This window comes from Homo sapiens, chromosome 5 (genome assembly GCF_000001405.40).
Source record: "Homo sapiens chromosome 5, GRCh38.p14 Primary Assembly".
In the NCBI taxonomy this organism is placed as follows: Eukaryota; Metazoa; Chordata; class Mammalia; order Primates; family Hominidae; genus Homo; species Homo sapiens.
The window spans coordinates 133,678,970-133,691,601 of record NC_000005.10 but is presented as its reverse complement, the minus strand read 5'-3'; the positions used below and the strand labels follow the sequence as shown (position 1 = coordinate 133,691,601).

General features: G+C 48.4%; 1 protein-coding gene across 1 annotated transcript in view, besides 1 other annotated feature; it reads left to right on the top strand.

Annotated features, from left to right (window-relative positions):
• FSTL4 (follistatin like 4) overlaps window positions 1–12,632 on the top strand; it is a 645,613-nt gene that overhangs the window by 150,466 nt on the left and 482,515 nt on the right. The gene's annotated exons all lie outside the window — the stretch shown is intronic.
• Window positions 7,251–7,415: a silencer, noted in NCBI's record as "fragment chr5:133019878-133020042 (GRCh37/hg19 assembly coordinates)". NCBI's record gives its function as "represses an EF-1alpha promoter that drives an FKBP-Casp9 reporter gene in an ReSE screen in phorbol 12-myristate 13-acetate-treated (for megakaryocytic differentiation) K562 erythroleukemia cells {active_cell/tissue: K562(+PMA)}" and the evidence as "EXISTENCE:reporter gene assay evidence [ECO:0000049][PMID:32094911]".

Here is a 12,632-nt window from a genome sequence, read left to right as displayed (position 1 = left end):
GAGAGTTCAGTGGTGACTCAGCCTCGAACCCTTCTTGGGATAGAAGCAAGGAATTCAGAAATAAATAGGGAAATGATGTGGGAGGTCCACGCCTTCAAGTTAATGATCCCTCAGCTCTGGGCAGCTCAGAATTTAGATGTGGGTCAGAGCCACCTCTGTAATCATAATGGGCTGGCTGGCAGGACATTGCCAGCTGGGTGGGGCATCCATCTGGTGGGAGTCTGGGCCGAGTGTTGCCAAGAATACAGACCCTGGAGAGAAGACATTAGAGATACATTGTTTCTGGAGGCTGCAACAGAGTATATGGCTGGCAATTATGTATTTCTGATCCATTAAAGAATGCTTTGGCATAGGAAACACATATTAGGGATGAAATTGTAATATAATCAAATTGTATTTTTATAGAAAAGTACTGCATTTTTCTCTAAATAAAATTCAGTAACAAAATTTTATTTGTTTTCTCCCCAAAACGCCTTTCCAAATTGATTTTTCAGAGACATCCTGAAAAACCGATGTGGTAAAGGGGAAGAAAGGTTTAATTCAGTGTCCTCGGATCCAAAGCATGGCAGGATTATGATTGCGAGCTCAGAGCTTCCCTGATTCCCAAAGTTCTCCCCGCTAGTTAGCTCATCTTTTATGGAGCTCTCTGGGAGACAGCATAAATCCTGAGATGCCCCTGCCAGGGTGGAGGAAACGTGACAGCAAAGGAGGGCTTGTTCTTTCTGAGTCATCCCATGTTAACGGAGCAGCAGGTAGGTGGGCAGAGGAAAATTATTAGAAGAAGCAAATATGAAGTTTTGAATTTGGAGATGGCTGGACAGAGGATGTGCAAGTCACTGTCTCTATAGGCAAAGGTTTACAAAAAAGATTTTAGGTTGTATATGCATAGCCACAAAACGTTCACATCAAAAGTCAGAAATTCAGTTCATCCCCTGCGTGTTTGCCCTGCATCTTTATATTTAGAAACATCTGGAGCATCAGTGGAATTTATCATTCACCCAGATGCTTGATAGTCCCTACATGGGGTCCTATATGCATGCAGGCAGGAATTGAAAATGGTTTATTCCTTCTCTAAGAACTGTGATCAACTGCTAGGTTTTCAATAACTATAATCTGCCATTAGGTATTTATTGATCTCTTATGCCAAGCATATTTGAGGTGCAGCAGATATATGTCATGATTCTTCATTTAAGGAAAGTGGCATTTTGCTTGCAAGACAAAGTCAGCAAGCATGGCATAATTCCACCTTGGTTCTCTTTCTTGTCCTAACTACGGAGTCCTTTCTGGATATGAGATAGGATCCAGAGAAGGCTGGGCAGGCAGATAGCCCTTTTGGAGGTGGGGACTAGATCTATGTCTGATCTTATTAATGGAATAATGGGAGGAGGGGGTCATTTTAGGTGACAGAGAGGAGATAGGCATGTTCCCAGCAGGGCACAGGTATGGAGATGAGGATGAGTTGATTTGTGGAAGGGAAGTTCCGGTGGGGAGGTCAGGGGAAGTTTTTGTTTGTTTGTTTGTTTGTTTGTTTGTGTGTTTTGAAATGGAGTTTTGCTCTTGTTGCCCAGGCTGGAGTACAATGGTGTGATCTGGGCTCACTGCAAACTCTGCCTCCGGGGTTCGAGCAATTCTCCTGCCTCAGCCTCCGGAGTGGCTGGGATTACAGGTGTCTGCTATTACACCTGGCTAATTTGTGTATTTTTAGTAGAAACGGGGTTTCACCATGTTGGTCAGGCTGGTCTCGAACACCTGACCTCAGGTGATCCACCCGCCTATCCTTCCAAAGTGCTGGGATTACAGGCGTGAGCCACCGTGCCTGGCCTGGTGGAGAAGTTTTATTGGGGCACTTAGAGTGCTGAGACCACTAGTCTGATTGTGTTTGTGGGTTGAATTTTGGGGAATAAGAAACAATAAGCTTGAAAAAGTAGGGCAGGGTCAAAAGGACAGGAACCTGGATCCCCAAAGGAAAGAGTTTTCTCTTTATTCAGGGTACTGTGGTTCCTTGAGTGGCTCAGAGATTGTGCAGGAGATCTTCCCATCCCTGTGCCCAGCATAGCATACGCAACTATCTGTAGACCAAATAAATAATCTTTCTCACACATATACCCACTACTGTACCTGAATACATTGAGGCTATTGTGGGAAAAAAATGCAAATGTATTTAAAAGGCTTACTGAATTTGAAGTAGCTGCTTGGCACTGTAGATTGCCTCAAGCAATGTTTTCTAAACTTATATAATTGCTCTCGAGTTTGGGGTTCAGTTGTGCTGTTGACGAGGACCTCCTGCCTCAGAAGTAGGGTACCATGCCCCAGGTGTGGTTAGCTGGGAGTTATCTGGACAAGGGAAGGGAGTGGTCCAAGATGAGCCCTGAGGAGATTGTTGTGGAACTAAGGCAAGGGCAGATTGAAGAGGTGGGAAGGAAGAAACTGGCTGGCCAACCGGGCCACTGTGGAGAGACTGGGTGGAGGGGTTAGAAAAGTAGGATATGGAGCAGGGGAAAACACTGAGGACCACGGGGAGGGCAGATGGCAAGGGGCTGGCTGCAGGGCCCTGCTTGGGGACCCAAGCAATGACACCAGAGTCTTAGCGACGCTCTGCCTGCAGCAAGGACTCCTGTCACCCTGAGTGAGCGGCTGCCACCCACACCCAGGAGCTAAAGGACCAAGTCGTGTGAGGAGGCTACAGGACTTTGTTTCTCCAGGCTCTGAAATTTAGTTCGCCTGGCGTGGGGCTCCAGCAGATGACATCCCTGGCCCCGTGGTAGGGACAAAACAGAAAGTCCGGGACAGTCAGCAGCTAAGCACAAGTTTCCACCTTGCAGGTCATCAGAACTGTGGGCCCTGTCATATTTCCCATCAGTCACATGTTTACTGAGGAAGTCAGAATCATTGACTTTAGAAAAAAATGAGTCCTGAGCGAGACCTATTTATCTCCCTTGGAGGCTAAATTCAGTTATCTTCTGTGTGAGCTCTGTCTACAGAATCTCTGTTCTGTCCTCAGAATGACTGGGTTGAGAACAGTGGAGGACAAGGACTGTTTCGAGGCTGAGTCATAAAGCATTTTCAAGTCAATGACAAAGCACCAAAACTTTTTATGCCAGAGAGAACTGGTTGTCTCCTAACATCTATTCTCTTCTCGTTCTCTAGAACCACCATTTGTTGTTGTTGTTGCTTGCTTTTGTTTTTTTTGAGACGGAGTCTCGTTCTGTCACCCAGGCTGGAGTGCCATGGTGTGATCTCGGATCACTACAACCTCCGCTTCCTGGGTTCAAGCAATTCTCCTGCCTCAGCCTCCTGAGTAGCTGGGACTACAGGCATACTTCACCACGCCTGGCTAATTTTTTTTGTATTTTTTAGTAGAGACGGGGTTTTACTGTATTGGCCAGGCTGGTCTCAAACTCCTAACCTCAAGTGATCCGCCTGCCTCGACCTCTCAAAGTGCTGGGATTACAGGCGTGAGCCCCTGTGCCCGGCCTAGAACCACCAATTTTTAGTTGGCTACATTTCCTAGCCTTCCTGATAGCTAGGTTTAGCCAGTTAACTGAGTTCCGGCCAAGCTGAGCACAGTGATGTGAGCTATTTCCAGGTGGTTCCTTTAAAGGGTCTGCCTTCTATTTCCCCCTTTTTCCTTCCCATTTTGTCAGGAATGCAAACATAGTGGGGGTGAGCCATCTGGGACCTGGGGAGGAGGCAGCTTCCCTGGGGATGGGAGCAGCAGGCAGATTGAAGGAGTCTGGGCTCCTGACACTGTGTGCAATAGCCATGGCGCCAGCCTGCACTGATGGTGCCCAAGTTGTGGTGCAAGAGAGAAATAGACGTCTCTCTTATTTAGGCTACTACTATTTTGGATCTCTATTCATAGCAGCCACATCTAGATCATCAATTATAATTCTTAATTTGAAAGTTGAATGTATGCATTTGGAGAATAAGGAACGTGCCTAAACAAACCACCTTCTGGTTTTGGCAACCCAAAACATGTTTGAATTTGGAGGCATTCCTTAGTGAGTAGGAAGAATGGAAGGCTTTCCAAAGCCCTTCCAGTGTGCAATGAGTTTTAACTGACGCCCTGTAAAGCCCCCCTGGGTGTTCCTCAGATCTCTCTCCTCCTCTCTGTGTTGGAATATCACTACCCGGGCTGAGGAGCTTATCACCTCTTGCGGGATTGAAAGGTAAACTCCAAGAGGGCTGCGGCTTTGTTTTGCTTACCACTTAGCCTCACGCCACAGAGTGTTTGGCAGATAAGAGGGGCTGGTTGAATTAAAAGACATAAGGCTCCAACCTGGCCTCCCTGCCGCTGGGCTCACTGCCCTCCTCCCCAGTCCAGTCCACACAATCACTTTTCTTAGTATTTCTATCACGCAGATCCTACCATACAACCCATGCCCCCCCTATTTAGCCTCTCAGTGGCTCCCTGCTGACCACAGGATCGAGTCCACACTCCTTGAGTTGTGACATGTGGGGTCCTCAGTCCCAGTTCCCCCGACACTTGCCCTGGGCCACAGGCTCGTCCCACTGTGCAACCTGTGGCTCCCAGGCATGCCACTGTTTCCTACTCTGGTGCCTGTGTATGTTTTGTTGTGTGCACACTTGCAGTGCCCTTCCCGCCTCCTTCACCCGGGGAACATCTCACCCTCCAAGACTAAGCCTTTGCTTCTTCCCACCAACCACTGTCCAGACGGACCAGTCTTCCATGCCTGGCTGCTCCCCACACAATCTTACTTCCATTGCAAAATGTGTTTCTGCAGAGGTCAGTTCTCCGGAGTCTTCCCCTCTGGCAGCCTGGGTTGCCTACACCTTAATTCCTGATGCACAGATCAGAGTAAACATCAATGAAAGTAACACATGAGTCAAGTGATCCTGGTTTTATTCTATCCTTGTAACTCTGAATAAGTCATTTCCCTTATCCCCTGACCTGAAGTCCCTTTGTATGTGAAATGGGGATGATAATACCTCTGCTGCCTATCCCACCTGGCCTGCAGGTATTGACAGAACGTGTGTGGATAAGGGGAAGCTTCTGCACAGACATGGGCATACACGTCAGTTATCCATGCTGTGTTAATGGGGTGGCTTCTGAGCCACATCCAATAAACACAATTAATTCTGACACTGAATAAAATGAACTATCCAAAGGATGGGCCTGACTGATTCGTGTAACTCTTATAAAGCACTGACCATGTGCCAGACACAATGTGAGCATTTTATAATATTACCTTATAACACTACCTCATGTAACACTACCTCATGTGACCCTACTGGCCACTCTCTGAGGTGGGCATTTCTCTCATCCCCATTTTACAGATGGAAGAACTGAGGAGAGTTTGATGACACTGCTTAAGGTGCAGAGCTAGTGAGTAGAGGAACAGAGTCTGAAAGCAGGCAGTCTGACTCTGGGGTCTGGGCTGTTCACTTTTACACAGATTATTTTCCCAAGGCCAGTAAGGGCCAGAGGGATGACAGCTTTGTCATAGAAGACATGTAGGATGCTCATAATTATAATTTTTATTTGACATCAGGGGAGAAAACAAAAATCCCAGAACAGAGTCCCCTGTGCTGTCCTGTGGGCGCCTCATAGATGCAGGGCTGGGCAGTTTCACAGTAATGAATGCAGACCTCTTAATCAGGTGATCTGACAACCGTGCCACTTGCCAGGGAAATGATGCCCCTCTAGAAGAGATTGTGTGGCGAATAAGAAAAATAAATGAATCGGGAGTATGTCAGAGCTGATAAGCCTCAGGGACACGGCTGGGACACAGTGAGGGTGTGCGATTTTAAGGCAGTTGCCAGTGGAGGCATTGGGACTGATTTCACAGGCATCTGTCCCCAGAGAATTGGGGCCTGCCTGCCTCCTGCCAGCACTGGCCATAAGCCCATACCCTCTGGCTCATGCCTGGCTAGTTGTCCCAGCCTTCCAGGACTATCATGTTGTGGGTGCCCAAGAGGGCTCAAGAATCCCACTGAGAGGGGTGAGGCAGTTCCCTCCTGGGTGGGGCCTGCGGAGGTGCTAGAAAGCAGCAGGAGTGTTCTGGCAGCCACAGGGGTGAGCATCCCTCACATGAATGCAGCACTTCACTGTCTCCAAGCACACACATATCTCTTGTTTCATCACTACATTCTGCACATCTGGGTGTTTTCCTCTCTGTAGACACAGCGTGTGCTAGGCTCTTGATGGTCACTGCTATATGGACGGAGATTTTCTCTTTGGACCATTTTAGCTTCCCTTTCCCAACGCAGCTGGCCAAGGACCGTGCCTCAATGTCAGCTGTCATGTTTCTTCCGAGGAGCCATATTCAAAGCGCACAAACCTTGAATCGAATGGGGAAGGGTTTGTCATCTCAAAGACAGATTTCTAGCAAAAGAAATCCAATGACCATCCAAAAGAGTGGATGGGCCCCATCCCAGGAGAGATGCTGAGCCCCAGGGGCAGGCTCCTGAAAGTCCTTTGCACCAGAGGAGATGCTGCCCATGCCCTTTGAAAATTAGAACTGTGTGTTTCTGTTGCCACTGATTGGCTGACCCTGCCAAGGCTGGACAGGCCCTGTTCACTTAGTCTAGAGTTCGATGCTACCAACCATTTGCTAGAGAAGAATTTATAGGCTGTTTGGAGCAGGTCCTCTGGGTGTAGACTAAAGTGAAGCATGTCTGCTATTTAAATCTTGTCACAAATACATCTCAATCCCTGGAGCTTCTCTTTGGAAAGAAGCAGGATGCCTAATAAAACAATGAATAATTATTTGGGGATGTTCATTATTTACAGCTGCCCCAGGTCATCCGTAATTTATGCAGCCCTCAATTATGCTTGATTTCTTCCTTACATGGAGCCATCTCTCCAGACTGCCATCACCGTGGGTGATATCCATGCACCAGTTAATTGTACCATGAGGACAATTTCCCATTTCTTGAAATGCTTCGAGTCCCCTGGTTGAATGCTTATGTTCCACAAACTCTATATCTCAATGATGAGTCCCTGGATACTCGAAGGCAGAAAGACCAGGGATTAGGTTTGACAGAGAATCTGTATGGAACTCTGTCTGCCAAGCATTAAAGAAAGGCCTCAATGGGTACTTGAGGGAGAAAACTGTGAAGTCTTGGTTGCAGAAGTGGCCTGGGATAAGGGAGAAGGTCAGTGCCAGTAGCTGCCTTTCTGCGCTTGGGAGGTTCAGGAGAGAGAGAAGCAACAAGTACTGGGAGGGAGTCCAGGCTGAATCACTTGCCTAGAGGCATGCAACCAATAAGTGGACTTAGGCTGGAGTCTCACGGGTGCTCTCCCCTCTGCACCCTCCCTCCCCAGCCATTGACCTGCGAGGGTCGGGGAGGACAGAGGAAGGTGAGGGTGCAGGGCAGAAGCTGCCCAGACAAGGTGAGCATCCCCGCCTGCTATCTTTTGCTTACCCGTCACTTTCAGCCCTGAGCTTGACATCTAACTGAAAACAAGACCTTTCCGAACGCAGAGCTTAATGATCCCTTTAATGCCCGAGCAGTAGCATCACTTCTCTCTCTCGCCTGTTCCCTGTCAGCCATGGGGCATTAAGTCGGTGATAAAAATGCCTTTTTGGTATGGTCCACAAACTCACCAAGAGGCTCCTGATAGCAGTATAGCCATCTAGCATGAAATCAAGAGGCAATCACTGCGGATGAGGCAAGATGAGCTACACGCAGCAGCAATTAGCAGAGCCCACGTCCAGGGTCCCGTCCTTCACCATCTCCTTGTGCCCGCACCCACCTTCGCCCCAGCAGGGAGGGCTCCTGCGGCACCATCCAGCAGCCCAAGTCCAGTTCTGAAGCAGGTGCCTTGCCTTTCTGCATTTGAGGTGGTGGGAGAAGCTTCATCACCTCTTTAATCCTACCGAACACAGCATTCCTGACCCACGTGGCCTCTGGGAATCAACGTCCTTGGTTATGTTTTCAATCCAGAAAATATAAAACTGAGAAGAGAGGGGGAAAAAGGAAATAAATGGCCAGTTAGGAATATGTATTAGCATGATGCTGCGTTTGGAGCTGGAAACAGGAGCCATTTATTTTAAACAAATCGGATCTTGATGCATGGCCTGTGAACGTGCCGACTTCTCTATCACGCAAACATGCTTGGCAAGTTTGATTTATATGGTGTGGCTCTGAGGATTTTTTTCTCAATTAAAAACGAGTGGAGAAAAATCATTAATTTAACTACTGTGTATTAAATTTGCATTAAAACATCCGTTTGTCTATATTTATTATGTGAGTTATTGAAAATGTGAGCTCATGAATTCTAATTTTTAAGATAGCATGCCAAACATTGAAGATAAATTTTATTTATTTCTGCAATTAATTCTATGAGGACAAATAGCTCTAATTTAGGGGATGGCAGATGTAACTGTCCACTGGTGCCCTCCCTGCATACCAAACATAATATTCATCTTTTCTCATTAGGGTTTCCCTCTGCCTGTAGCTGGTCTCAAAATATGCAAACCTTGCCGATCTGCACCTTGTGCTTCAACACCCCTTGGCAGACACACCTAGAAAATACTCGGGAAAATATGGACCATGTCAAATCTCTTTTTCTGCTTCTCTGTGATGTGCAAAGGCTTCAACCACATCCCAAAGGCTAAATAAATATTTCTTCCAAAGATATCTTGATATTAGTCACTTGGGTTTCCCACCAAGATGGCTCAGTGGTGTCCAAAGCAAATCTTGCGGGGTAACTGTACACAAGCCTTACTCTGCTACAATGGAGAACTTGGTAGTTTTCTCTGGGGTCACTGCCCCAACACAGGCCTCAGCATCAACACATGGATCCTAAGGAAGGGAGGCTATGACGCAGCCTCTCAACCTGAACATCAAGACTGCCGTAGGAGTTTGTACCCCGCATCCTCTTTCTGCAGGAGGCCACCCCACCCACCAGCCCTCCTTTCCTTTCAGCTGGGTGGAATGTGTGAGCATTTCAGGCTGCTCTGTGGCCATAGCCATTCAGGACTCCCAGTCACATGGCTGCAGTGACAAATGGTGCACAAATTGGGTTGTTCTCAGAAGCTCTGTCTCCAGGGCAGCCCCTTGCTATGTGTCATCATCCAGGTGCCTGGAAAGGGGCGGCATCATTTCCTTAAAGACTTTTCCTGTAGTAGATAGCTGTGCATATTGCCAGCATTGGAGTTTAGCAAGTAAGTCCTTTCCATACCCACTGGGTTACACATGGGGGCTTTATGCTATTCTAGGTAGCATGAATTCAAGGCAGTCCCTGCGTTCGAGGAGTAAAACAGGAGAAAATAACAATGCAGTGAGATGGGTGCTATGATCTGGGACAGACTAGGGGGATTGGGAATGAGAGTAAGGAAGTGCTTCTGACATTACCTGGGAGGCTGAACTCACACTTCTGCCCCTGGCAAGTTTTCTCTGCTTCAGAGAGCCCCTTAGTTCCACTCTGATGGATGTCATGTCTGAATAGGGTCTGAGCTGCTGCATTTCCTCCCTTCCAGACAGAGACTGTGGGTGGGGCTATCCTTGTGCAGAGGATGTCAGTTGGGCCAAGAGGGTGGGTGCCACACTGGGGTTCCTCTTACTGTATCACAAAGCACTGAGAGCCTCACTTGCCCAGCCTACCCTCTGCAAGCAGGCCTGGGGAATCTCTGCAATGGAACGAAACCACTGTGGAACCACCAGCAACAGCCCACTTTCTCCATGCCAGGAGCTCATTTCCTGAGTGTGGCTTGGTGGTTGCATCCTCCGGGTCTCATTTAGAGGTGGATTTTAGGGTAGGCTGGGGCCAAAGGGTGGCTCTCAGCAGTCTCTTCTATACAAGAGGGACCCAAGGACGAGTCTGGAATGCTGGGTCCTTCAGAGACCAGGCCCACCCTGCTCTGATGATGGGTCATTTCTACTTTCCCATCACACAGAGCTTCCACCAGCTGGAATGTTCCCAGCCTTGCTTCTCTCATGGGGGGTCCAATTCCTCCTGATTAGCAGCATTTCTAAAATCACATTTTGTAATAATGAGCCCCAGAAACATGCAAGTCAAGTACATCACATTATCAATGACAATTGTCAAGTTTTTTTTTTCTTTTTCCTCAGTGAGAGGATGATCAGACATTCTCCCCTTTGATTTTTCAATGAGTAAATCACTCTTACATTTTGGCTTTAGAATATATTAACGTATCTAGGACTGGATCACAGACTCCATGGGGGCCGCAGCCAAGTCCGTCTGGTAGCTCCAGATGGGAAACATCTGATTCAGTTCTGTTGGAGTGAAGAAGGGCTGTTGCAGTCCCCTCCAATCCCCCTGAGGCAGGAGCGCATATGCCCGTGTGGCAGAGGTCTGCCCTGCCTCACTCACCGCTTCTGGCCCAGGCCTCACATTATTTAGGGGGAGCTCAGAGAAAGAAGGGAGTGAATGACCGCTTGCCAAGGACTGCCCGGGGTCTGCCCTCCCTGGACAACTGAGGATCTGGAAACGAAGCAGGAGGCCAAGCCTGGGGCTTTTGCCTGCCCACCTGCCTGCCTGTCCGCCTCCAGGAGATTGGTGCTGCACTGCTCACTGCACACTCGTTAGAACAAGCCCTGTGCCATGCACACCTCAGCTGCCCTGGCTGCCTCTGCTCTGTCCAGCCTTCAGACATCCAGGCCTGAGTAGAGAGGCCACTGCACATGATGGAGAAGGACTCTGGCCCCAGAATCCCACAGGTCTGGGTTCAGTTCTGACTGTGCCCATGATGAGCTGCATCACCTAGAGCAAGGCATTCCCCTCTCTGAGCTCCAATTTCCTCACCTGTAACAAGAATGAACACACGTGAAGTCATTAACATGGAATCCCCAATGCTCTAAGTCCTTGCAGATGGCAGCTGTTGTGAGGTCAGTCAGTATTCATTCTGCTGTAACCAGATAACTGCAGGGCTTTCGTGTCTACCCCTCCCCTCTGCCAAAAGGTGGGGACAGGGTGCCTATAAGGAAGAGCCTTGTCTCATGGGGCTGACAAGGAGTTTTCATTTGGCAGGTGTGTATTGAGGACACATTGGGAGGCAAGTTCTTCTGCAATAATGAACATGGGCTGTTTCTTGTCCTCTATGAGATCATCAAGAAGAGGAGATCAGAGGGTAAAATTCAGTAATCCTCTAAGAAGTGGAGGCCTTGTATTGTGGAACCCTGGAGAGGGAGTGCTTACTTTCGGTCATGTGGATCCCACAGAAGGAGGGGGTATGAGAGTGGGCTGGAAGGGCAGGGCCCACCACCTTGGAAAGGATCCTGTGTTTGGAGCTGGCTCAGGTGCTACACGTCTGGTGGAAATCCTTGGATCATAGGTGTGCCCCCTCTCTTAGCCGCATGCTATAGAGTGCGGAGGATGGTGTGCTGTTTGTGTATTTCCAGAATTCAGCACAGGGCCTCATAGTAGGTCTCAGTAGTGTTGAATAAATGAATGAACATACAAGCAAATGAATGAAAGTATGAATTAATGAGTGAGTGAGAAGGCATGGAAGACCATGCCATGCTGTGGAATGCAATGTGGGCTTTAGTATGTAGACTTTGGGGAGCCAGCAGAGGTTGTTTGACATGATCAGGTTTTATGATTTACAGAAACAAAATAAAAGAAGACACCTGCCCATCGCTCTGACATCCTAGCTCCTCTCACCATCTTGACTTTTCTGAGTTCTAGTACAGTCTTATCCATGGCCACATGTGCATCCTATCTGTTTGTGGGTAGTATGGGGTGGACTTCTTGGGAGAGTAGTGACAGGAAGCTACCTGGTTGGAGGGAAAGGGAGGTATAGTGCCAGGGGTAGAGATAAGGGGCTATTGCCATAGTCCAGGAAAATGCAGCCTGAGATCTGGGTAGGCCTGGGATAGGATGAGGTCAGAAGACTAAGGAACAAGCAGGAGGCCATGTGCAGAGACCTCCTATGGAGAAGGGAAGCTCCCACATGCTCAGGACATGAGCAGACAGCCTGTTCTGCAAATAGATGACTGGCTGTGGCCTGTTTGCAGGCACTGTCAGAGTTTACTTTCAGGAATTCCCAGGTGAGGCCTAGAATGAATCCAACTACTTTCCAGCTCTCTGAGTCCATGCCAAGAAGGTCCCTTCTTGGCTTCCCCGAAGTGATGGGCACACCTTCTGAGGCCTTTCAGGAGTTTGGGTACCCAGGTTCCTAGGAAATGGTCCAAGACCAGCACTGAGTCCTCAGATGCTTGAGGGAGCACGATCCCCACTGTGCAAAAAGGAGTTAGCATGGCAGGCTTGAGACTGCTACCCACAGAAAGGTTTCTTTCAAGGCTGTGCTTGGCCAGTGTCTGGGAACTTGGCTGGTCCCTAAATGATAAGGGTGGCTCACTGTGCCTAAACTGTACCGAGAATGTGGTTTATGCTGAACATCTGCTTTCCTCCTGGGAGTCTGGAATTTGGGTACATGCTAGGCAGAGGGTGCTTGTGTGACCAGCCTATGATTAAAACCTTGGGCTCTAATGAGCTTCCCTGGGCAGAAATGTTGCATGCATGTTGCTGAGGGAAGAGTGAGCTCTGTGTGTCCTCTCCTGAGAGGGAGAGGGCATAGGGAAGCCTGCACACAGATTCCTCCAGGTTCTGTCTGTGTCTTCCCTGCTCATGATCCAGTGATATAGCCTTGCTATGTTGCTGAGCAGATTTTTATACCTCTTTTGCTGTGAAATGAGATCCC